Genomic DNA, 27,429 nt, shown 5'->3' on the forward strand with positions numbered 1-27,429 from the left:
GTGGTTCTTAGATTCCTTGGATTGGATTTGATGTTCTCCTGAATCTCTATGATCATCATTCCTATTCATATTCTGTATTTTATGTTTATCATTTCACTTATTTTAGCCTGGTTAAGAACCCTTGCTGGGCAACTGCTGCATTCATTTCAGTGAAAGAAGATACTCTGGCCTTTTTTGTTGCCAGCATTCTTGCACTGGTTCTTTCTTATCTGTTGATTTCTGTTTCTTTAACTGCAGTGTAAATTGAGTGTAGACAGTAGACTTATTTTCTGGATGTTTTCACAGGACCAAGGCTTTGTGCAGGGTCTTTATATGTAGTTGAATTCTTGTCCTTGGTTTTTCAGTGGGACATATTAGCAAAAATATTTTTGGTGTTGAAGTTTTGATGATCCAGTAGGTGGCACTTACGGGTAATGTCCAGTAGGTGGTCTCTTGCTCAGTCATGTGGCTCCTCTGTATTTCCTCACAATTGCAGCTATGCTACCTCTGAGTGCTCTGAAAATGTTGGCTCCTCTTTCACTCCAGTGCTGGTTGCAGATCTTGGCTTGGCACTCCCGGGCAATCTCAGGCTTTATGTTTCTTCCCAGTTTGGAGGCAGTAGAGGACGAGACCTTAGCAGTGGTTGTGGCAGAGAGTCTTTCAGTTGTTTCTTGGGGTTCCACCCTAGAGATATACAGAGCTACTATTAATCAGCGTGATCAGCCCAGGATGGGGCAGCTGTGCTCTGGGCCCAAGACAGAGGGGCCCTGCCTGGTGACAAATGGGGTGCAGGGTGAGTGGGACACTGGGGAGATGGACTGGCCTGCTCTCCTTAGGATGACTACAGCTTGTTGGAGGTGTGGGTAGAGCACTCATGGTTTTTGCTCATTCTCCAGTCTGAGATCAGCAAGGGTAGTACCATTGCAGTGGCAGTGGCAGAGGGGCTTTTGGTTGCCTCTGGGAGCTCCACCTTTGAGAAACATGGAGCCACTCCTACTGGGAATGTTCAGCCAGTGGGCGGGACAGCTGTACTGGTGGCCTGAGCTGGGGACTCCCCTAGTTGGGGAGTGGGGTTTCAAAGATTCACAGTGAAGAGAGACTGGTTCACTTCTGTATGGTGGCTGTGGTGTGCTATAAGCCTAGGTGAAGCCCTCAAGATCTTTGTTTCTTCCCCAGACCAGGGCAGCAGGGGTAGAACCACTGCTGTGGCAGTGGCAGAAGGGCTGTTGGTTCCCTCTGGGAGCCCCTCCCCAGGGAAATTCAGAGACACTACCAGTGGATATGCTCAGCCATTGGTGGGGTGGCTGATCTGCAGTCCTGAGCTAGGGGCCCTCCCTGGTGAAGAGTGGGGGTTGGGAACTCCCAGGGAAGAGAGACTGGACTCTTTTCCATATAGTGGCTGCCATGTCCTGGAGGTGCCAGCATAGCGGGTAGGTCCTTTGCTCCTTCCCTATTCTGTGGGCAGTTAGGGCAGTACCACTGTAGTTGCAATGGAGAAGGGGTTGTGGGTTGACTCTGGGATTTCCTCAGATAAATGCAGTGCTGCCTCTGACTGAAGTGTTCAGGTTGGGGCAGGGTAGTTGTGCTGGAGTCAGGAGGCGTCACTCAGTGAGGAAAAAATGTAAATGGGGACCGATTTAAAAAACAGTCTGGCAGCTTTTCTGTGGGATGGCTGCACTGTGCTGGGGTTCTGTACCATGCTCAGCCTCCTGGATTTGGTTCCTTTCCTGGGGACATGTGAGGGAGCATAACCACTCTCTTTGCCAGAGCTGCAGCCACTAATGCTAGGATGCCCAGGGATCCAAGGCTCCTGGGGCTCTGTGTGTGCTTGAGTGGTGGCTCTTCTCAGACTACATGTAGCTCTCCACATCAGTCTGAAAGTCCCACAAGGGGATCTCCTGAGCCCAAGATTGCAAAGATCCATAGAAAAAGTGTGGATCCCCAAGGTCTCTCACTCACTCAGTTTCCCTGTGGTGAGGAAGCCTCTCCTGGCTTCATGTGACTCCCGGGTGGGTGGTTGTCCTGTGTTGCTCCTCTCTGTTCTCCATGGGCCACGTTTTTTCCTTGATGAATCCCTGCATGATGTTTCAGTTGAAGATGTAGTATTTATTCACCAATTTTTCTCCTCTCTGTAAGAGTGGCATACACTAGCTGCTTCTAGTCGGTCATCTTGACAGTTTTCTTGATGTTTACTCAGTGTCCAAACATTCTTTAGTCAGCACTTGTTGAATTCTGCCAGGACTGGGTCCTTTCCTTCAAGGCAGTGGATTCCCGTGTCTAGAAATGTTGTCTGAGGGCTAGGGCATCAGGACTCTGCATGGTGCTCTGTTTTACTGTGACTGAGTTCATATCCAAGTTGCAAGACAAATTCCTCTTTGTTGTTTTTGTTGTTGTTGAGATGGATTCTCACTCTGCCGCCCAGACTGGAGTGCAGTGGCTTGATCTCAGCTCACTGCAACCTCCACCTCTCGGGTTCAAGTGATTCTCCTGCCTCTGCCTCCTGAGTAGCTGGGACTACAGGTGTGCACCACCATGCCCAGCTAACTTTTGTATTTTTAGTAGAGACAAGTTTTCACCATGTTGGCCACGCTGGTCTTGAACTCTTGACCTCAAGTGATTCACCCGCCTCAGCCTCCCAAAGTGCTGGGATTACAGGCGTGAGCCGCGGTGCCCGGCCAACAAAGTCCTCTTTACTCTTGTTTCTCCCCTCCTCAAGCATAAAGAAGGAGTCTGTCCTGGAGCTGTGAGCTGGGCTGCCTGGGTTTGGGGGACGGGTGATGCAAGCACTCCCGTGGCCACTCCCACTGGTACCTCACTATGTCACATACACACCAAGTCTGCTGGCTACAAGTCCAGCACAGCACCAGGACCTCCCTAGGAACTGCACTCCTTGCGTCCTAGACTACCTTTTGAGTTATTTTTGGACCCCAAAGCACTTTAGCCTGTGGTGGTGGGACTAGCCAGACCTCAGGTTCTGCCTGCTGTAATGGACAATTCCCCTCTGGCTAGGGCAAGTTGAAATGTTCCGCCGTAGGTGCCGGTTGAATTCTGCCCAGTGTTGCTTTCTGCTATGACAGGACAACACAGAGTTGCAATGCAGAGTTCCACAATCACTGTGCTTTTCTTCCCTCAAGCACACAGATTTTCTCTCTGCACCACCTGGCAGCTGCTGGGGGATGGGGAAGGGGTGGTACAGGCAATTCAGACTATCTTTCCTCCCTTGTTTAGTGTCTCTTTCCTTGATGTGATGTTAAAACCAAGTATTGTAATTACTCACTTGATTTTTGGTTCTTTTAAAGGCACTTTCTTGTGCAGATAGTTGTTCAATTTGGTGTTCCTACGGGGAGGAAGATCACTGGTGGTTTCTATTAAAACATGTTTTTCTGCCTCTTCCCCATATCCCGTAAGTTTTAGTATGTTATGTTTTTGGTTTTGTGTGTCTCAAGATATTTTCTAATTTCTCTTGTAATTTCTTCTTTGACCCATTGGTTATACAATAGTATGTTGTTTAATTTCCACATATTTGTGAGTTTCCAGTTTTTCAATGGCTGTTGATTTCTAGTTTAATTCTCTTGTGGTCAGAAAAGATACTTGGTAGGATTTCGATCTTTTACAATTTGTTAAGACTTCATTTGTAACCTAATGTGTGATCTTCCCTAGAGAATGTTCTGTGTGCACTTGAGAAGAATGTATATTCTGCTCCTGCTGGAAAGAGAGTTCTGTATATGTCTGCTAGGTACCATTGGTCTATAGAGTTGTTCGAGTCCTATGTTTCCTTATTGATCTTCTATCCACTTTTCTATCCATTTTTGAAAGTGATGTATTAAAGTCTCCTATTACTGTTTCACTGTTCATTTCTTCCTTCAATTCTGCCAATGTTTTCTTCAAGTACTTGGGTGGTCTTGTTTTAGATGCATATATATATGTATATGTATATATATTTGTTATATTTTCCTGGTGAGTAGGCACTTTATCATTATATAATGTCCTTTATCTCTTGTGATAATTTTTGACTTCAAGTCTATTTTGTCTGATATAAATGTGGTCACCCTTGCTTTCTTTTGGTTATCATTTTTATGGAATATATTTTCCCATCCTTTCACTTTCACCTTATGTCTGTCTTTACATCTAAGGTGATTCTGTTGCGGACAGCATATAGTTACATCTTGTTCGTATTTTTCTTTAATTCAGCCACTCCACTTCTTTTGATTGATAACTTATTCATTTATATTTACAGTAATCACTGATAGAGCAGGAGTTACTATTGCCACTTGGTTAACTGTTTTGTCTCTGTCTTGTAACAAGTTTGTCACTCTTTTTTTTTTTTCTCTTGCTGCCTTCCTTTGTGTTTTGGTGATATTTTTGTTTTGACATGCTTTGATTCTTTTCTCATTTTCTTCTGTGTATATTTTTTTGTGTGTGGTTACCATGGGGCTTACATATAGATCTCATAGTTACAACAATCTATTCAAAGCTGATAACTTTAATAACATACAAAACTCTACTTTTTAAATATCTCTCCATTCCCACTTTATGTTATTGACGTCACTGATTACATCTTTATATATTGCATATCCATTAACATAGTTTTATAGTTATAATTATTTTTCATGTTTTGTCTTTAAAATTATTTTTATTTTAATGATTATGGCTACATAAAAGTTATACATATTTCTAGTGTACGTGTGTTGTTTTGATAAAGGTATACAATGTATAATGATCAAATCAGGGTAACTGAAGTATCCATCATCTCAAGCATTTTATATTTCTTAATGTTAGGAGCATTCCAATTTCACTTTTTTAGTTATTTTAAAATATACAATAAATTATTGGTAATTATGGTTACCTTATTGTACTACCAAATATTAGATCCTATTTATTCTATCAAACTGTATTTTTGTACCCATTAACCATCCCTACTTTATCCCCCCATCCACTACCTTTTCCAGCCTCTGATAATCATCATTCTATGCTCCTATTTTTATGAATTCAATTTTTTTAGATCCTTCATGTAAGTGAGAACGTGTGGTATTTGTCTTTCTGACCCTGGCTTATTTCACTTTACATAATGTTGTCCAGTTTGATTCACATTGTTGCAAATGACAAGATCTCATTATTTTTAATATGAATACTTTCTGAATTATATTCCATTGTGAATAATATTCCATGTGTATATGTACCACATTTTTTTTTACCCATGAATCTGTTGATGGACACTTAGATGGATTCGAAATCTTGGTTATTGTATATAGTGCTGCAATAAACAGGGAGCACAGATGTATCTTCGTTATACTGATTTCCTTTCTTTTGGGTACAGTAGTAGATGTTAAAACCAAGCAGCAGTAAGATCGCTATGGTAGTTCTATTTTTAGTACTCTGATAAATCTCCATACTGTTTTCCACAGAGGTTGTACTAATATGCATTCCCACTAACATTGTACAAGTGTTTTCTTTTCTCTACACCCTTTCCAGCATTTGTTTTTGTTATTTTTGTCTTTCTGATAATAGCCACGCAAACTGGGATGAGATGATGTCTCATAGTGGTTTTTACTTGCAGATCTTGATGATTAGTGATGTTGAGCATTTTCTTTTATATATCTGTTTGTCATTTGTATTTCTTCTTTTGAGAAATGTCTATTTAGGTCTTCATTTCTTAACTGGATTTTGTGTGGTTTTTTAGCTATTGAGTTGTTTGAGCTCCTTATAAATTCTAGTTATTAATTTTTTGTCAGATAAGTAGTTCACCAACATTTTCTCCCGTCCTATGAGTTGTCTCTTCATTTTGTTGATTGTTTCCTTTGCTGTGCAGGTTTTTATCTCGATGTGATCCCATTTGCTCATTTTTGCTTTGGTTGCCTGTGCTTTTGTTGTCCTACTCCAGAAACATTTGGTTAGACCAGTGGAAAAATCAATATTGTTAACATGTTCATACTACCCAAAGCAATATACAGATCCAGTCCAATCCCTGTCAAAATATCAGTGATATTCTTCACAGAAATATAAAAAAATTACTAAAATTTACATGGAACCAAAGCTATCCTGAGCAAAAAGAACACATCTGGAGGAATCACATTACCTGACTTCAAATAATACTACAAAGTTATAAGCAAAATTGCATGATGCTGGCAGAAAAATAGATGCTAGACCAATGGAACAGTATAGAGTACCCAGAAATAAATTGATATATCTACGATGAACTGATTTTTCACAAAGGCATCAAGAACATACACAGTGGAAGAGACAGTCTCTTCAGTAAATGATGTAGGGAAAAGTGGATATCCATATGCAGAAGAATGAAACTAGACCCCTATCTCTCACCATATACAAAAATCAAATCAAAATGAACCAAAGACTTAAAATCTAAGACCTGAGATGTGAACATACTAGAAGAAAACATTGGAGAAACACTGTATGCTTTGTCTTTTAAATTCTACACTGAAATTAAAAGTGCTTTATATATCATGATTACAGTATTCTATTGAGACCACCATGGAATTTTTTTCAAAAAAGTATCTCTGAGAAAGGGTTATTATACAATCTTTAGTTCAGATTAAATGTGTTTCTTCATTTTGCCAAAGCCATCCCATGAAAAGTAAACATTTCAAACCATTATCAACTGGTTTCCTCTGATTACTAAAACTCCTCTGTTAGGCCATGTCAGACTTACCTATATCTTTTAAATTAGAACAGGTAACTAAGCTGTTCCCTCTCTGCTATTTACTCTACTCTTCTCATTACCTCCTACCATCAAGCTTTTTTCTCCACATGTCTCTTATAGCCCTTTCACTACTGTGTATCTCCTACAACACATATCTCTTTATGCTTCCTCAGTAGCTTCCAACGTAGCTGAAGAGAAAAAGAAAAACATAGTGAAGTTAAATTCTCTTTAGTCAGGCTTCCCAAGGCCAAATTTATTGTCCACCTCATTACTGCAACCATTCAAAGCCTAGTTCTGCCGCTCACTCCAGGCTAATGTGGGTGTCATAGTGTTCAGAAGGATCAAAGACACTGAAAACATTTGCCCTCTAAAAATTGATTAACTTCACTCAGATATCTATATGCTTCCAAATTTCCCTTTATGTCCAACTTGGAAAACTTAAGAAAGACTTAAAATTTCTGCATGCTTACTATATGCCAAGTTCTTTTTCCAAATATTGTACATGCAACATGGTATTTAATTTGTACAAAAACTTATAAGTTAAGTGTTTTTAGTGTTCCTTTTTTACTGATTAAAAAACTGAAATTAGGAGAGGTTGTTCTTTGCCAAAGGACACACTATTCCTATGGAACACAGTCAAAATTAGTAAAAAGAGGATTATCTATGGGCCAAGGAGCCAAAAATTCATTAGACATGAAGCAAGGATTGTGATTAATCTGATTCTGTGTATGTAAGGTTTAAAAATGCCTAACATCGGCCGTTTCTTCAAGGACTCCTGTTTGTTTTTAAGTATAGTACTAGAAACATATATGTGGGCAATAGGTGTAATTATTGCTACTGGGGTGCTATTGCTTCTAGGTCATCTCAGCTGATAAGAAATGCAAGTGTATATGTTAATCCCTGTGTATACACATATTTACAAGTATTTCTATTTGTAACTATCTGTACCTATATTAAGCTAAACACATGTTCGTGTTGATATCTCCTACTATAAAGCCTCCTACCCTTGTTTATTGTAAACTCCCACCCTAACAGTGAGAAACATGATTCCAACCACCGGCCATCCATTTACTTAATTTTTCAATTCTAGTACATGTGTATAGTAGTATTGATATAGTTAACCTATGCCTCCATGAGGGAAAAATCTCTATCAACTAAAGCTTATTGCTTATGAACACTTTCTTTTGCTTTTAATCTTATAGTCTCTATTTTCTTCCAAAGATTTTAGGTCAACACCTTTGTCCTTTACTCCCTTTAGTGAGATTGTTTCACGCACTTATAATACAGTTAGATTGATTTGTCACATTCTTCATTCCATGCCAGAATTCCTTTTCTCCTAGATAATGTTTTAAAATTTAGATACCTTATGTTTTACTCCTTGTTTTATATAAGCCTATGGGCTTTGATAAATGCATACTGTCATGTATTCACCATTACATTTCCGTACAGAATAGCTTCATCATCATCAAAACAAAACCAGTGCTTCATCTATTTCATTCGTCCTTTCTCTTCCTGAACCACTGGCAACCCCTGACTTTTTTTTTTTTACCATCACTATAGTTTTTCTTGTTTTAGAATGTCATGCCATTGTGATCATAAAGTATATAGCCTTTTCAGACTGACTTCTTTCACTTAGTAATATGCATTTAAGATTTAGTCGTGCCATTTCATGACTTAATATTTTATTTCTTTTATTGCTGAATAATAGTTCATTCTATCAACATACCACAATGTGTTTATCCTTTGATCTACTGAAGGACATCTTGGCTGCTTTCAATTTTTGTTAATTAGCAATTACAGTGCTATAAACATTTGCAGGCAGATTTTGTGTCGACCTAACTTTTCACATCAGTTAGATAAATACATAGGACTGAAGCATGGAAAAAGGAAAGTGAGCCTCAAGCATCTTGTCATACCAGAAAGTAAGGAAGTGCTCAAAAAATGAAACAAACCCCACAATAGTGGATGGTATGTCAAAGGGACACAGGAATTGAAAGTGCGCTAAATGGCAAAAGCTGGAATAATTTGAGTAATAAAATAAATAAATTAGCAATGTATTATAACCCAAAGTAAAAAATAAATATTCGTGAGTCCATGTTACCATAAGGATATGACTGGATAAATAAGTGAAGAAGAAGAATCAAATTTTTGTGCAGAAAAATTAGAAATAATTTATGTTGATACTACTTCCTCACTGAGGAGGAGCATAACTCTATGCTCCTTAAGTGGGACATGAAAATACTCATTTCTTTCCAAAGAGTACAGTATGGAAAGAGGGAAAAAGAATAGCTGTACAGTAAAGAAACCTGACAATTGCTACCTTGGCCAGGTCAACATCAACAGTGATAGTGATGTTTATATCATGTACCCTTGATATGATGTGATAAAAAAAGGCACTTTACCTCTGTGTTCTTCTTCCCATTCCCATAATTCCAGACTAATTATTTAAAAATTATCATATGTCTTCCAATTAAGGAGGATTCTACAAAATATCCAACTGGCAATTCTCAAAACTGTCTAGGTCATCAAAACAAGCAAAATTTGAGAAACCATTACAACCAGAGGAGCCCACAGAGTTATGATGACTAAATGTAATACCTTAGCATGGATGGGATTCTGAAACAGAAAAAGGACATGGGATAGAAACCAAGAAAATCCAAATAAAATATGGACTTTAGTTAATAATAATTTGTCAGCATTGTTTCCTTAATTGTAACAAATGTACCATACTAATGTAAGATGCTAATAAGGGAAACTAGGTGTGGGATACACAGGAATTATCTATAATATATTTACAATTGTTCTGTAAATCTAAAGCCGTTCTAAAGTTTTATTTGTTTGTTGTTCAGATGCCTCAGTTTGGAGTCACCATATACTGATCCTTGAAAGGAAGTGGTCAGGTCTCTCAGAAGGAGAGAAGAAAGTGACTGGATAGTTGACCTGGTATTTATATTACTGGGAGGCACTGACCCTATCTAATGTTGGATTTCTGGGCTTCCAGTATGCTGTTTTCCTTTTTCTCTCCTGTTCTCAATCAACATTTTAGCCCACTCTCCCCAGAAAAGGGCTTTTGGTGACTTGGAAATTAATGAGTTTCATTCCTCTTGGCTGAATTATAGATTTAACTGTAAAAGGGATAGTATCTTATTTTATTACCAGTACCCCCAAAGCATAACCCTAGTTTGGGGAGAGGTCTGATCTTTATGTGGTTTGAGTAGTAGAATAGAACCACTAATTTGTTTCTGGTATTGCTAAATGAACTAGACTTACACTTTTGTTGTTGTTATACTAAATATAATTGCTGTTTCGTTACTTTAAAAATTCAAATATTTGTAATTTTATCTGGTTTGACCAAATAATAATGCCAAGAATAAAAAAGAATAAACATTTATTTGAGCATCGTGTTAAGGGTTTCCATGGATTATGTGATTCAATACTAATAGTAATCCTATAAGATAGGTACGATTAATGTCTCTGTTTTATAGATTAGTCAAATAAGACCCAAAGTAGCTACCCAATGTCAGATATATTGAAGGAACACAGGATTCAGATTCACTTCTGATGTCTAAACTAGCTTTCTCTTCACAATAGCATACTAAAGGGTGAAAGCCATCTATATCTGTTACATATACATCTAAAAGTCTGTTACATTAAGGGGCTACCTGTTGGCAATAGATAGATATACTAGGCTTTTTTAAAAAAATTACTGGCTCTGGACTGGCCTATACGGGTATAGGAAATTATTGGTGTCGAAAGCCATGCTTTTACTTTATGGGCATTATCTGGGTGGAGACATGAACTACAGTTTTGTAAAAGCTTTTCATAGTGCTATATGAGGCACCCTATTTCTCTAATGGTACGGGGGTAACGAAAAGGGTGTTAAGCTAACAATTTCTTGCAACCTTTTATCTGGTCCATTGGCTTGAAGGTACATGAGAAGAATAGGTGAACATACTTTTAAGGGTGTTGAAAAAGTCTGAACTCCAAACTCCTATATGCAACTGCCTGCTTGGCGTCTTCATTAGAATGTTGAATAAGCATCTGAAACTTAACATGTCCAAATATAATTCCACCTCCTCATTCCCTTTCCCACCTCCTGCAAAATTGCCATCTCTTTCTCAATCTTCCCCATGAAACTGATTGGAATTAAATTTTCTCAAGTTAATTTATTTACTCAATTTAATATTCTTACTCTATTAAAAAAATCTTGATTTCTCTTTCTAGCTTATTCCTTATATCTAATCCATGAGCAACTCTTATCAGCTCTATTTTGAAAATGCTTTTCAAATACAACTATGTCTTACCAATTCCACAACTATCTATCCTACTTCTAGGCCTCAATAACCTCTCATCTGTATTTTCTTCTTACTGCTTTATTTGCTTTCACTGTTGTCCTCTTACAGCCTGTTCCTCACACAAAATGTAAACTAGTTTTCACTTTTTAGTGTGAATTAAATTATTACATTTCTTTGCTTAAAGTCTTCTAATGGTTTTCATTACAGTATAAAATCTAATCACTGTCTCCTGGTTTACAGGTCACTGTTAGATGTGTCTTCATCTTTATCAATCCCTTCCATATTCATTTAGTCCCCAGAGAGTGATCTTTTTGCTGGTCCTGAAACAGAGCGAGCCTGCCCTTCCTCAAAATATTTTCTTTTGTGTTCCCCTAGATCTTTATTTATCTGAATTCTTTTGCTTGTTTTAGCTCAAATGTTACTTCCTCAGTGAAGTTGGCCTTATTTGATGTCTTTCATCTCTCTCCTGCAATAGCTCTTTATGGCAGCATTCTGTTTCATTTTCTTCACAGAATTTGTTACTATCTAAAATTACAGTATTTATTTATAATGCTCCTAATGAGACTAGGAATTAGCAACAGTTGGTGCACAACACCTTTGAACTTCCCCTGAGAGCGAAATAGCATAATAAAAAAATTATATGATTTGAAATGAGACAGACAACTTTAAATCCCAGTTTTGTTGCCATCTGTCTGTATGACTTTGGGCCAGTTGGTTAATTTTCTGGCTTTTGGTTTTCTCATCTGTAAAACAGAAATAAAAATGAGACATCAAAAGGTCAGTGTGATGATTAAAGAAGATGAGGCTAGTGCCTCAGTGTAGTGAATGGTATGTAGTAGATGTTCAACTTTTCTTTCCCCAAGGTTCTGGTATCTTTCATCTAAAAACATCTGCCCTTTGTTCTCATCTTCTGGCCTAATCTCACTTCCTCATGCTCGGATCAAAGGCCACCGGAAAATTTTCCGGTGGTAGTGATGTCTCTTGAAATGCCCTCCAGATTCCTCTCTGTAAAATGAAGGCAATATTAGTTCTTACTTAATAGGGTGGTTTTGAAAATTAAATACAGTAATACATATTGAACTCATAAAATAGTGCCACCAGGAATTATTAGTGCCGTAAGACGTATTAGTGCAATAGGAAGCACTCAGCAAGTTTTAACTTTACTATTAAACACATTCCTTTCCAAAGTGGGGGTAGAGAGAAACTATGAGTTTTCTACATCACATGGGGGGTCTCATGTAGTGATTCTCAGACTTTAGCGCACAAAATTGATATGGGGGAGATTTGCGAATTGCAGACTCTGTGGCCTCACCTCTAGGCTATCTGATTTCTTAAGTATAAGATATGGTCTATTCACAAAGCATTTGAGTTGATTCTCCACAAATCACACTTAGAAAAAGTGATAAAAATGAACATACCTGATTTTAGTCGACATTAATAATTTACAAGATTTTAAGTGTTTTGTCACCAGTAAAGGATGAGAGAGAGGTATTTTAGATCTTTTTTACGTCCACAAGGTTATAGAATCTCTTTATTTTCTCCTCTGTGAATCTGAAACAGCCAGTGCTACTACCATCATGTATCACCAGTAAAGGAATAGCTACTGATGTAGAATTAAAAGGCAAAAAGGACATGTGAAAATAGGTAGTTATAAACTTTCCAGGATCAAACTGAGGCCTTTATATGAAAGAATTTCAGCAATGAGTGATGTCATGGATTTTCTGTGTATTGTGTGTGTGTGTGTGTGTATATATATATTTGATGTTTTCTTGGCAAATAAAAAGCAACAGTGGCCGGGCGCGGTGGCTCACGCCTGTAATCGCAGCACTTTGGGAGGCCGAGGAGGGCGGATCATGAGGTCAGGAGATCGAGACCATCCTCGTTAACACCGTGAAACCCCGTCTCTACTAAAAATGCAAAAAATTAGCCGGGCGCGGTGGCAGGCGCCTGTAGTCCCAGCTACTCGGGAGGCTGAGGCAGGAGAATGGCATGAACCCGGGAGGCGGAGCTTGCAGTGAGCCAAGATCGTGCCACTACACTCTGGCCTGGGCAAAAGAGCAAGACTCCATCTCAAAAAAAAAAAAAAAAAAAAAGCAACAGTGACTCCTAATGCATCATATACATTTTGAGTCTAATAATTGCTTTTGAGGTATCTCATTCAAACATTTAAAGGTAATAGCAGATGCTGGTTGAAAAGTTAAGCATTAGTCACATCGGTAAAAGGACAATGGTATTCTAAGTTGCCTTTTGATTTCTGTGGCTTTAAAATTTATTCATTCCACATTTTCCCTCTCAAACAGACCTGACAGATGAAAATACCACTTTCAGCTTTGTTGTATTTTTTTCTTACCACAGGCTCCCAAGCATATTATCTTATTGGCTCTCTGGTGGTCTGCCTTATTGACAAATATTGTCTATTTGAAAGCTGGCTTCCATGTTTGCTTAACTTGATTTTGCTTCTGCTGTTGTTGGGGAAGTTAATATTAAGTTAAGCAATAAGAAATAATTCTCTTGAATAGTCTTGTCCTCTAACAGCTCTCATCACTAAGAACATGTTAAGTAGATATCTCTATCATGATTTATAGCTATCTATTGTCTAACATCTATCTATCTGTCATCTATCATCAATATACATTTTGTGTATCTATATACACAAAAATGTGTAGTATTTTGTCAACTTTCTGTTCATCCACTAGGAAAGAAAATGAATAAGTGAATGGAAAAAGGAAGGAACTTACCATATATTTTCCTGTATATAGTGGTTAAGATTATGAATTTTCTCAAGTCTGGTAGACCCAGATTTAAATCTTGGATCTAAACACTGTATGACTTTGGGCAATTATACAAATTATTTTAGGCCCAGTTTCCCTCTGTCTGTTAGAAGGGACAATAATAAAACCTTTTATAAGCAACCTGGAGGGAGTGTGGGGCAAAGCTGGCTGCAGGGACCCGGTGACAGCATGAGAGCTCCAGATCGACTGTAAGAACAAACCAGCCATCCCAAGAGGACCCACAGACCCTCTGAAGGAAGCGGACTGCTCCTGTAGGACCCAGGAGACACCCCAAATACTGTGAGTGCCCCAACTGCGGAAGTGGGAAAGGGAGACCCTACTCTCCCTAACACATGCTCTCGGGAATCAGGCATGCAGACTTCACAGGTTGGGGAAGAACTAAGGCCCTTTTCTTTGGCAGTTGGGAGGTGGGTAGCCTCGGGCAAGTTTTCAAGCCCCTCTCAGCCTCCTCCTGGAAACAGACTTGGGGCTGTTGCAGGGGACATGATGGGAGTGAGACTAGCCCTTCGGTTTGCGTGGGTGTGGCCTGTGACTGCCGGATTTCCCCCACTTCTCTGACAACCTGCATGACTCAGCAGAAGTAGCCATAATCCTCCTAGGCACAAAACTCCAGTGACCTGGTAATCTCACCCCCATACCCCACAGTAGCTGCAGCAAGACCCGCCCAAGAAAAGTCTGAGCTCAGACATGATGAGTGCACCAAAATCTCACAAATCACCACTAAAGAACTTACTCATGTAACCAAACACCACCTGTTCCCCAATAACCTACTGAAATTTTTTTAAAAAAGAAAGTCAAGCACCTGATCAAATATAGGGCTTATTATATTTTTCTCTGTTAACTCACATATTTCAAAATGCGAAGGGAGTGTACAAAGGGTGATGGAGATAAATTTTGACTTCAGGAGCTCTTTCTGTAGTAGAATGACTTGAATAAAATCTTTAAAAGAAATGTGTGAGCAAAAAGAAACAGTGAGGCATTATGGGTAAAAGAGATTCTGAGTAAAACCACAAAGTTAGGAGAGTGAGTGGTATGTTTGGGTAACAGCTGCTTGTGTTGGGTGGCTGAGGTTGATGGCAGAGATCAGTATTAGATAAAACTGAGGCTGTTTACTGGGATTACTCTATAGAATAATAAGAAATATCAATTTTATATCATAAATGGTGAAGATCTTGTTAAGGGTTCCTGAGGAGAGACAGGATATGAGAAAGTTTATACTTTAGAAGGTAGTTGTGATGATATGTAGGGTGGGATTGACGACAGAAAGCAAGATAGGAGTCTAATGCAATAATCTAAGTGTGAGATGGCATAGGCTTGAACTTAAACTATGAGAGAAGAAAAATCAAGGTTAAGAAAATTTAAATGGAAGAGGTGTGTGGAGAAACCGATCCGGTGGTAAGAGTGTGGGCATATTGAGCAGCTGTGATCCAACTGGTAGGAATAAAACAAGAAGAGTGGATAATCACGAGAAGACAAAGATAGACAGAGTCTTGAAAATAAACGTGGCGGGCAATGTTAACAGGAGGACCAAGGCAGTACTATGAAATGTGGGGATTTGGAGTTCCAAAATGACTTTTGCAAGAGTTTCAAGAAGAGCTAGGGGCAATCAAAGTGAAATTCTAAAGACATCTATAAAAATGATTTGAAAACTGATTTGTATATCCCACTTCTTCTGTTAGTAAAGACTTCACGCTTACACAGATTCTTGTCAAACTGTTACAGAGAAATAATTGCAATGTAAATTACCTGCTTTCAAAAAGCATTTTAATTAGATATGATGAGACATTTATTGTGTTTTAATTAAACAATAGGTGATTTGAGGGAAGTATTGTTGAGGTACATTCAGTTTAGAAGAGTTAAATATTATTGCTTTTTAATTATGTCAAAATTACTGAAGCAGTGAATCAAAGTAGACAAAAAGCTCTGAGGAAAGTGTGAAGTGCTGAAGGGCATACTATCAACACTTGCAGTAACATCAGCACTAGCTAGAGGACTCTGTTGATTCTATTTCTGGGCAGAGCAACTGACAACAGTGTGTATAGCAGATGCACTGTATCTCCAGTGTTAAGTCAAAAGCTTTAATGGGCCCCTGTTTTCTTCCAACTCAGTCCTATATTGCTTTTACATCACTCTCTTACTCAGATGGCAGGACGATAAGGCAGTATGCAGTCTTGCCCATAAGCACACTAACACTACCTCTATTTCTGTATTGCTGCCATCTGCTGAGAATTTAGCCGCAGGTCCAAAAACACTCAAAAAAAGGGAACTGGCTGGGTGTGGTGGCTCACGCCTGTAATTCCAGCACTTTGGGAGGCCAAGGCAGACAGATCACCTGAGGTCAGGAGTTTAAGACCAGCCTGGTCAACATGGTGAAACCCCGTCTCTACTAAAAATACAAAAAATTAGCCAGGTGTGGTGGTGTGCACCTGTAGTTCCAGCTACTGGGGAGGCTGAGGCAGGAGAATTGCTTGAACCGGGAAGGCGGAGGTTGCCGTGAGCTGAGATCGCGCCATTATACTCCATCCTGGGCAACAAGAGAGAAACTCCGTCTCAAAAAAAAAAAAAAAAAAAGTGGAAGGGGGGGTGCGGGGAATTGTTAAGTACTTGGAGGATTGGATGTATTTTCAAACTGTTCCTAGGACTCCACATATTCAGGGAAATTGAGCTCTTGAGAATGATGATAAGACAAGAGGAATCTCAGGCTGTTGTTTAAGCACATGCTACCTGCTTAGTAATTGGTATGATAACTATTTCTTATAAAGAATATTTGTGAGTAAATTTTCTTATTATTCCTAGTATTAGTTTCCTATTATTTCCTAAAACTTTTCATTCCACTGGATGAAAAAAAAAAAGACTATATGTAGTTCTTTACCTGGTTCTGCTACAGACCTTAGAAAATGCTTTTGAGCTTTGGGGTGAAGGCTAAGGTATAGTTGTGATCCAATAACACGGCAGAGATAATTGATCCTTACAAAGATTTTTAACTCACAACTTTGCTATTATTAGCACCAGCTGAGCTCACACAATAATCGACAAATTCATTTCAGAATGGTAGCAAGGCATAAAATAATTTTGTCTACAGTCTATCCTTGATCTATCAAGAAAGCCAATGCCAACTTCTAGTTAAACATGGTAGAGTGAATATGCATTAATCTCTGCTCCCTTCTAAAACCCACTAATAGGATAAAACGACATAAATCCACAGGGAAATAGAGAGCAGCACAACAGACGACATGCTAACACAATTTTGGAAGTTGGAAAGCAGGTAAACAAATGGCAAGCCATGGGGCAGAAAGGAGAAAGGTGAAACCTAAGCTTGAGGGGGCAGGACAAAGATTGTGGTGGGACATAAAGTTAAGAAGTCAAAAAAAAAAAGCTAATAGGTACTTTAGAGTTTAGGAAAGAGGTAGAAACTGAGGTACCTTATAGCTCTGTAAGGCAAATGTTAACAGGGTCATGTTGAAGGTCTATTTAAGAAGGACAGCTGCCAAATCGTCTCCCAGACCATGTTCATCCACACCCACACATACTTCTGGGCAGAACACTAGAGATTTATTCTCCAAAGAAGTTTAAGTAGCAGGACCTGGACTTGGAGAAACCAGACAAAGCTGAGGGTAGTGGTCCTATACTGAAAACGGATTAAGAGGGAATCAACATACTACACAATGAGATCCCCAGACCTTTCTGTAATTTAACTCTGGGAAAACCAGCAGTCCAGTTTAAAGTTCTCATGCAGAAATTAGAAAGATTCCTCTTTAGAGAAATTTTCCAGGCTGATAATAAAGGTCTACAGAGAGTAACAATTTAGAGATCCCAATAAAACAGCTATGTACTTATTAAATCAGTGTACAGTGAAGTACATCATTTGATAGGCCCTGCTCAAACACATAAAGCTATTGATAAACATTTTTTGTCTCAATCTTAAATTAAAAATGAATAATCAAGGAATAACATTTGAGGAAAAGCTCCAACATGAAAAGCAGAAATCAAAACAGACAAGTAACTAAGAAATAGAGTGACACATGGAACAGAAAAAAAAAAAAACAAGCCTTAGTATTTTCATAAAATGTTTTAAAAGGGCTATTGAATAGCAGTATATCATAATGATTAATAAGATAAGGATATAGGCTTTTGAGTTAAACTCCTTAAGTTTGAATCCCAACTCTTAACATTTAGCTAGTTCCATGACCAGGGACATGTTACATAAACTCCCTCTTTCTCAGTTTCTTCACGTGTAGAGTGAATATAATAAAAGCACCTCATAGGATTATTGTAAGGATGTAATAAATTAATGAATATGAAGAAGTGTTTACATGAGTTCTTGGTACATAAAAACTTCTCAGTAATTATTCTTAGTTGTTAGGAGTAACAAAACGTGGAGGCCATCTGATTCCTCTCTTTGGAAGATTGTGATTTCATTAGAGAGGTAGTAATTATTAAACTGCATTCAAGAAACAAGAAATGGATTCTAGCAACATAGAAAAAGAGAGTTCAAGAAAGATAGGCTGAGTGTGGCGGCTCATGCCTGTAATCCCAGGACTCTGAGAGGCCGAGGCGGGTGGATCACTTGAGGCCAGGAGTTCAAGACTGGTCTGGCCAACATGGCGAAACCCCATCTTTACTAAAAAGACAAAAATTAGCCAGGCATGGTGGTGCGCACCTGTAATCCCGGTACTCAGGAGGCTTTGAGGCACTAGAATCACTTGAAACTGGGAAGCGGAGGTTGCAGTGAGCTGAGATGTTGCCACTGCACTCCAGCCTGGGCTACAGAGTGAGAAAAAGAAAAGAAAAGAAAGGAAAGGGAAAGGGAAAGGGAATGAAAGAAGAGGGAAGGGGAGGGGAGGGAAGGGAAGGGAAGGGAGAAAAGAGGAAAGAGAAAGCAAGCAAGCAAGCTAGCTAGCTAGCTCTTGGATGTTAACCAAAGCATGGCATAAACGTTTACAAAGTAGTTGGAAAATAAAGTTTAATAACATTTTGATCTGCATTAATTTCCAACCTAAAAGTCTACACTCAGATTGTTAAATATGTGCATTAGAATGAGGATATTTTCAGATATTTGATGTCTTAAGAATTTACCTCTCATGTATCCCTTTCTAGGAAACTCTGGATGATGTACTCCATCAAAATTAGTTGGGAAACCAAGTTAGAAAAGAATATGGGATCCAGGAAACACTGGATTCAACAGAATAGAAAAGAGAAGGGAATTCCCTTGATGTTGTGGGGGGAGCTTTGGGATGAGCACCTCATAGCAAGTCCAGACAGCTACAGTTCAGAACAGAGCAGGAGGGCAGAGAGCTCCCAAAAGAATGACAACCAGAATAAAGAAAGGAAGGAAGGAAGGAAGGAACAGTATGACTATTTGACATGGCTGAGAGGATTTTCATGTCTTTTATAGAGAACTTAGCACTAAATCAGTGAGTTATATTGATGATAAAGTGAATGGAATGGAAAACTAAAATCATGTTGAATTCCAGGTAAAACAAAAAATTGTGAAAAAAGGAGGTAATCACGGCACCCTGCATCCCTTGGCAGTGAATAGTAGTTATATAGCCCTAACAGTTTAAGTACTGAATACTAATTTAACCTAAATTGATTATATAAATCTATGGTGCAGATGGGTCAAGGGGAATGTGTGTGCGTGCGTGTGTGTGTGTGTGTGTGTGTGTGTTGTGTATAAGACAATGTGTAAAAGTGATGAGTTTTTATCTTCCACAGCAGGAAGATAGATGATGGAAAATATACAAAACTGGAAATTTAGGAAAAAACACTATAAGCATGTTATTAATATTTATAATCACAGAGGTAAAAACAAAAAGAAACAGCTCAAATAGATGAACATTTTCTATGGAGAGAAATCTAGGATGTGGTGGAGAGGGGCAGGGGACCTGTTTCCTGTTATAAGCCTTACGGAATGATTGGATTTTTAAACAATGCAAATATACTAATTTAATTAAAAACACCGTTTTTTAAAAAGCAAAAAACAAGATACAGAAAAAAATGAATGCCACATTTCTATTGTTTCTCTGATAGAGGGATAGAAAATAAATATTGGTCTATATTTTGCATCTTTGCATGTTTTTTCCCCTATACTGCAAGGAACTTTTCTTTGTGTGAAGGTGACTTTGAAATCAGTGGGAAATTCTTACTTAAATGTACTGCATGCGGGTGTTGCCCAACCTTCACAATCTGACTCATGAATGGAAAGCAATAAGATGTCAAATGTCCATGCTGTTTCTTCAGAAAACAAGCACTTTTTGAAGTTGCTGTGGTAAGTAATGGACCATTAGCCAGAAATTTCATTTATAGAACATCTTAATGTTCAACTGGTCATGTTAACAAATGCCTCTTGATCATGTTGATGGTGCTATTATATTTTTGTTATTGACATTAAGGACCCATCATAAACTTATTTTCTGGCATAAAGGAAGCCTGCTCCTTCCAAGGAAAACTATTTTCTGTGTCATTGTTTGGAAAAATTACAGTTGTTTATAACTAAATTCAAACCTATTTCTTAGGGAATTTATTAATTTATTATTTAGTGTGTGCTTCTACTTCCAAAACTTTACTGTTAATAAGGTTTTGAAGAATTGCTCTTATATATAAAATAAAAATTTTCTTTAAGATATTTGAATTATTTATGCCTGACATTTGTTTAGCCACTGTGTCCAATTGTATTTAAACTCAGAAAAATATTTTTTGTTATTTATATGAACATTATTAAATACACTCAGAGAAATATAGACTAAATCACAAATAGGATGAGTGTTATGAAATATTTATAACCTGTGTCCGTCTCATACCCGCAGAAAGTATACCGATTTTTAAACTGCATTTTTTGTTTTTAATTTGCAATAGATGTGAAAATCAAACTTTTCAAATTTTTGTGCATTGCTTTTAATTAGTTATTGAAAAATATTTATTTGGCTGCAATGCGTGGTACTCATAGTACTAAAATGGTGGAGATGTGATAAAAAAAATGAGAACTGTAGGATCCCTTCTTCATTCAAGTCAGGGAGAAAGAAAAAAAAGTAAGATGACAATATAAATAAAAGAATTGCAAATTGTATTCAGTGCAGTGAAGGAGACAAACAAGGAGCTAAGCTAAAAGAATAAGGAAAGAATACTTTTAGACCAAGTTTTTAGGAAAGTTCTTTTTGAAGAAGTGACATTTAAACTTAGACCTAAAAATTGAGGAGTTGGCCATGTGAAGATGTGTGTAGTGGTAGTGGAAAGATCATTTCTGACAGAGGAAGTAAAACCTATGAAGAACCTCAGGTGGGAAAATGCTTGGTGCTTTACAAGAAGAGAGTCGAGCCCTCATCTTTTATAAGAGAAAGTTGATAGATAATATCTAAAAGTCAATAATCAATGAACAGCAGTACAAGCGTGTTTATTTCTAAATATGTGGCTGAATACTAGAGCAAGTGTCACAAAAGTGGTTGGAATAGAGTGATCAAGGGGAGGACAGGAAATCAGATTGGAAAGTTGGCAGGGGCCACATACTGCAGGGAATTCTAAGCCCTAGTAAAGAGCTTGATTCTACTCTAAATGCGATGGGGAGCCACTGCTAGATTAAATCAAGGGAGTGACATGAATTGATTTACATTTTAGGAAGATCATTTTTGTTTCTGTGAGTAGAATGGATTGGGGAAAAAACAAGACTGGAAACAGGGAGACAGGTAGGGACATTGTGACACAGAAATGATAGTGACTTGCATGAGAGCAGTGTTAATGCAGATGGAGAGAAACTGATGGCTCAAGATATATTTTGATGGTAGAATAGCAGGTCTTCTTAATTGATTGGATGTAGAGGTGGGAGACAGGGTGGATTTGATGATAACTCTTAGGTTTCTAGTTTGGAGGAGGAATATGATGCCATTTACTTAGATGAAGAAGACAGGATAATAGGGAACAATCAAGAGATTTATATAAAGGATGTTAAGTTTTTGATGTCTGTGAACTATCCAAGTCGAAATGTCAAGGAGGCATTTTATTTTAAAAGACTAAGGCTGTTTCTGATGCTCTATTTCTGGGGAACAATGAACACACTTAACTTTTTAAATTTAGCTCCATACAAGGTAAATGAACTACAAATACCAGTTGCTAACCTTTCATACTTATTATTCAACCATCTATGTTAGGCACTGTAAGAATTGCCTATTTACTTGTCTATCATATCTATCTATCTATCTATGTATTTATATCTATGTATGTATGTATGTATCTATGTATCTATCTATCTCTATCTACTATCTATTCCATCATCTATCTCTAACTATCTTATGTCTATCTAGTTATCATTGAATATAGCTGTATATCCACCTGCTACTAAAATTAATTTGAAATGGCTTATGTTAAAAGACACAAATACAATAGAATTGTTAAACTAAATCATCAGGGTTCCATGGAAAAGTGGGGAAGAAGTTGACAGGGTAACAATTAAGTATGATCCCTGTAATGACTGTATTTTCGGAACTGAAAATCGTTACTTGACACATAATTTGACAAAGGCATTTTTTCTCCATAAATTTGCAAATGTATTTATAGAAAAAGTTTTGCAAAGGTGGAAAAAAGTATATGTGTATGTATATGCATACATGAATATATCTATATATGTATGAGTCAACAACTTGTTTTGAAAAACAAACTTACATGAAGTCAAGATTTCATATATTGTCTGTGAATCAGGTTTCATACTTTTTGGCCAAATAGGAAAAAAAGAATAGTGCTTTCTGAGATGGCTCTACCTAATATTTAGCTCCCTTTTCCTAGCTCATCAAGGTGACAAGTGGTATACCAACGAAACTTTCACTTACCTGAGGGAGAACTTGATGTTCTTTAGTTCACTCATTTCTTTATTCATTCATATATTTAGTCAACATTAATTGATCACTTATTATGTGCCCACTACTTGGCTAGAAAATGGAAATACAGAAATAAATTTATAGTTAAATTCTGTAAAGTTAACTTCAAGGACTTCACAGTGTACTAAAAATGTTATAAGTATAATGGTTGACATTTATTGAGCTCATAATTTGCACTAAGTACTTTCCATATATTGTATCATTTTACCTACATAACAACCCCATTAGACAGTAAATTTATTTTTTAAATGCCAGGAAATAAAGGCACAAGAAGGCCTGGTTTAAGGTCAGATAGTCAGTGATGGAGCTGGAATTCAAATCCAGGCAATGGGTTCCCAAAGCTATGGTCTTCATTACTGTGTTCTTCCTCTTGGATCACTAACCTCAGCTTGTGATATCTAGCTGCTCAGGAAAATGCCTGATAGGACCCAAAGAGCCTGAAGAAGGAGAAGGATGTTGACTAGATTTTGTTAAGAAACTCTTTAAACTATATTGTTTCCCCTTCTTTTGTTCTCTCCCATGTCCCCAGATCTTATCCCAAACTGAAAACTTGTACACACACACACATATACACACAAATCTACCAGTTTCAGGAAATAGAGTCTTATTGACAAAATTGCAACAGAGTAAACACTTGGGGCTTGGGTTGTAAATGCTTGTGGTCTCTTAAGGACAAAACCCAGGACACATTTATGTTGAAGTGATTTCAAACACTAAAATAATTATTATGTTCCTATAACATAAACAAATCTTGGATTATCACGGATTGGAAAAATAGCCTCTAATTAGTTGGAGTGTTCTTTTGTCTGGACAATTAGGAAGGTAACAGGAAAGCCTCACATCTTACTCCAAATCACTTTTCCCACCTTTTATCAAGTTGCCTGAGATTACATTTTCAGTCATCATTCCTTTGGAAAAAAGTATTGCCATTTCCAAACATTAAGCAAGTACTTTGTCAGCTTTTTGGAGTGTGTGAAACTATTGGATGACTATCTTTTCAGAGAACAAGGATCAGAGGGAACGGCTGCTGTTGTAGTGGCAGGTGTGGGGTAGTAAGGTATCTTCAGAGCTTGCATATTTTGCCTATTTTCAAATGCCTCCTAGGGTTGATTTATACTGCAAAACATAGAAGGGTCATCAAAAAATAGCCTAAATTTCTCTCATAAATGTATGTACAAGATTAACCATTGCAGCTTTATTTGTAATAATAGAAAAAGATGAAACCAATCCATATCCTCATCATAAAGGGATTGTTACATAAATTATGGCACATGTACACAGCAGCTGAAGAAAAGAATGAGGAATATATATACTCTATATAATATATAGAATGAGGAATATATATATATTCTATATACTGATACCGAAAGATCTCTAACATACCTTGTTACGTGAAAAAGGCAAGAGTCAGTACAGTGTTTATAATATTCCATCTATTTTTTTTGTAAGAAAGTGGTGAAATGAAACTATATATTCCTCTTTTCTTATATTTGTGTAAAGAAATACCGCAGTGATAAATCATCAATGGATAGGGGCAGCAACAGGAAACGAGTGAACTAGGGTAGGGGTGGGAGACAAACTTCTCCAATTTATTTTGAACCACATGAAAGAATTACCCATTCAAACTATAAAAATACCAAAACATTAATTGCACCATGAAATTTCTACCTAAGGAACGCTTTTACACTGTTGGTGGGAGTGTAAATTAGTTCAACCATGGTGGAAGACAGTGTGGCGATTCCTCAAGGATCTAGAGCAGGAAATACCATTTGACCCAGCAATCCCATTACTGGGTATATATCCAAAGGATTACAAACCATTCTACTGTAAAGACACATGCACACCTATATTTATTGCAGCACTATTTACAATAGCAAAGACTTGGAACCAACCCAAATGCCCGCCAATGATAGACTGGATAATGAAAATGTGGCACATATACACCATGGAATACTATGCAACCATAAAAAGGAATAAGTTCATGTCCTTTGCAGGGACATGGATGAAGCTGGAAACCATCATTCTCAGCAAACTAACCCAAACACCGCATGTTCTCACTCATAAGTGGGAGTTGAACAAGGAGAACACATGGACACAGGGAGAGCCTTAGGACAAATACCTAATGCATGCAGGGCTTAAAACCTAGATGACGGGTGGATACGTGCAGCAAACCACCATGGCACATGTATACCTATGTAACAAACCTGTACGTTCTGCACATGTATCCCAGAACTTAAAATAAAAAAAAAATTCTACCTAAGAAAATATATATATTTTAGATGAAGCAATGCAGTTTGGGGGTAAGAGTCCTGAACTTTGTATCAGAATATCTGTGAAGAGATGAATTAATTTTGAGAGAAGTTACTAAGAGGCACTGTCATGTAGTAATGTTTAGCATGGGCTATGGAGATGGACTGCCTGGGATGAAATTCTGGCTATCCAATTCTTAACTAGGGATTAAACGAGATAATGTATGGAAAGAATCACCTGGCATAGATTAATTGCTCATTATAAAATATAAGATGTCCATCTGTTTTAAAAAGAATAATTGGGGATACTTTAGACCTTAGGGTAGAGCATAAGAGTAATAATTTTGGAAAGAGTTGACTTAAGACCAGGCAATATAATTCGAATTTCAAGAAGCGATTCCCAAACTTGGGACTAATGCTGAGATCAGAAGCTACTTATAGCTGGCCTACAACCATCTTCTACCTGAGTTCCTACTATAATTCCAGTTGAATGTCTTTTACTACGACCGTACAGGTTGCCAAATTATCTGCAAACCAACAGGGAGAACCATTTCCATAGGATCATGTCTGTCTAACAAGTATAGTCCTACCTTGTTGCAGCCAGAATAAATCTGATGTCCCATGGTGACTAGAGTCTCCGTACCCTGTGTTGACAACAGCTAATGGGATGAGTGTGCATTTTTGATGCTGAGCAAAGATATGAGGGGTGCATGGAAGCTCTCTGTACTATTTTTGCAAAACATTTGTAAATCAAAAATTATTTCAGAATAAAAATTTAAAAATATATGTAGCTTCACAAAATCGGGATATACAAATGCTACAAAAACATAATAAAACATGCTCAAGCTCATGAATAAGCATGGAAATATATATTAAAACAAAAATGCTTATAAGAAATTTACTGGCATTTTTGAGATGGATACCATAGATACAATATTTCTAACCAACAAAATTACACTGAGACTTTGGTCTCACCCTGGTATTCTAAAGGGAGAAATGATAAAGCTGGGATATCAGTTTCTTGCTTCTCAGACAGTGAAGAAATCAGGAACTGTCTATTTTTCTTTTTTTAATTTTTTTTTGCAATGAGCACATATCTCCTTCAGTCCAACTAGAATGATTTTTGTCTGAAAGTGCTTTTGTTAATTTGACATACTTAAAAAATTTATTTTGCTTTATTTTCCAAAAAGGCAGTAACAATGTAATTGAGATCAGTTAATCAGTGGTAAGAAAGATAATTGCTATAGTTTTCCGATAATAGTCTCCCTATTGTAAGTAAAGTGTTATTTCAACTGTACCAGAACTAATGTAAATATTGCCATTTACATCAGTAGATATAGACAAAACCATGATTTAAACAAATGGAAATCACTGGTATGGAAAAGAAAACTTATTAAAGTAAAATAATATCTACCAATTGTATGAACTTTTCCATGTACTCTCAAAGAGTTTCTTTCAGAAGATATTTTCAAGTTAACAGCAGTCATAACAACAAAATAAAGCCACATTTGGCAGTAATGTGCCTGGGTTTAAGCTTAACATAAATGTAAACCTTGAACAGCTTTACCTCTCTGGACTCCAAGATATCATCATATGTAAAGGAACCTATTATTTCTTTGGAGGGAAAAAAGAGTTTGGATGAGGAGGCTATAGTGAGAAGGACCCACTAGTTCATGTTGTCTGCTTGATGTTAATCTGCTTTCTCTCAGGGATTCTCAACCAAGGTCCTCCTACTTCTGTATTACCCTTGCCCTTTAGGTAGCACCCCAGATACCTCACAGGTTTTAGGTTGATAAGTGGCACTTATGACATGGCCTGATACGTTTTATAATAAAAATTCCCTCTTTGGTGGCACTTTTAAGTGCTAGTTAGGGTTCAAATCCAATCAATAAATGTTGTAATAGAAATTCCCTCTTTGGTGGCATTTTTGAGTGCTAGTTAGGATTCAAATCCAATCAATTGACTGATGACTCATTAGAAATGTATTGTCTCTCTAATTAGCACATAAATACTTTCCTTCCATAATACTGCCACTTCTCTGATTACTCTTTCATTATCAACCTCTGGCTGGTGAAGCTCCTAGTCTTCTGGAAGTCTTAGAAGGTGAGTTATGTATTAATATTATTTCTACCCTTAATGTTTGGTGATGGTCATATCCTTATCACAGCCATCCAGTAACTTCCTGTGTGAGGAATCACAGGGGAGGCAGTGCTTTGGGGAAGTCTCTTTAGGGTCTATAAAACAAGAGTTCCCTTGTTTTCCTCCTAAGTTGAATAGCTCTCCTTTACCCTAGAAAGGTAATGGTAATTAATGGACTCTGGAGCAGACTGTTCCTGCCAGCCTGCCGGCCTTCGAATCCTGGATTTACCAATTAGAAGCATTCTATTAATGCTCTTGTGTGTTTTCCTTATCTACAAAATAAGGGTGCTGATATTAGAGTTTTGTGATGATTAAATGAGTTAATATGTGTTCAGGACTTAGAACAATGTCTGGCAGATAGTTAATACTATTCAAGTGGTGGTTGTCACTGTCATTGCAATTATCATCTACATTTAGGGCTTCCTTTTTAAACAATATTTGTGGAAAGAATTT

General features: G+C 37.5%; 1 long non-coding RNA gene across 1 annotated transcript in view, besides 1 other annotated feature; it reads left to right on the top strand.

The window, feature by feature from the left end:
• LOC101928437 (uncharacterized) overlaps positions 1 to 27,429 on the top strand; it is a 477,888-nt gene that overhangs the window by 217,516 nt on the left and 232,943 nt on the right. The gene's annotated exons all lie outside the window — the stretch shown is intronic.
• Positions 13,469 to 14,668: an enhancer, noted in NCBI's record as "MED14-independent group 3 enhancer chrX:112516938-112518137 (GRCh37/hg19 assembly coordinates)". NCBI's record gives its function as "activates an origin of replication core promoter dependent on BRD2, BRD4, P300/CBP and CDK7 cofactors, and independent of MED14, by STARR-seq in HCT116 cells {active_cell/tissue: HCT116}" and the evidence as "EXISTENCE:reporter gene assay evidence [ECO:0000049][PMID:35650434]".

Source organism: Homo sapiens, chromosome X, assembly GCF_000001405.40.
Source record: "Homo sapiens chromosome X, GRCh38.p14 Primary Assembly".
Taxonomy (NCBI): Eukaryota; Metazoa; Chordata; class Mammalia; order Primates; family Hominidae; genus Homo; species Homo sapiens.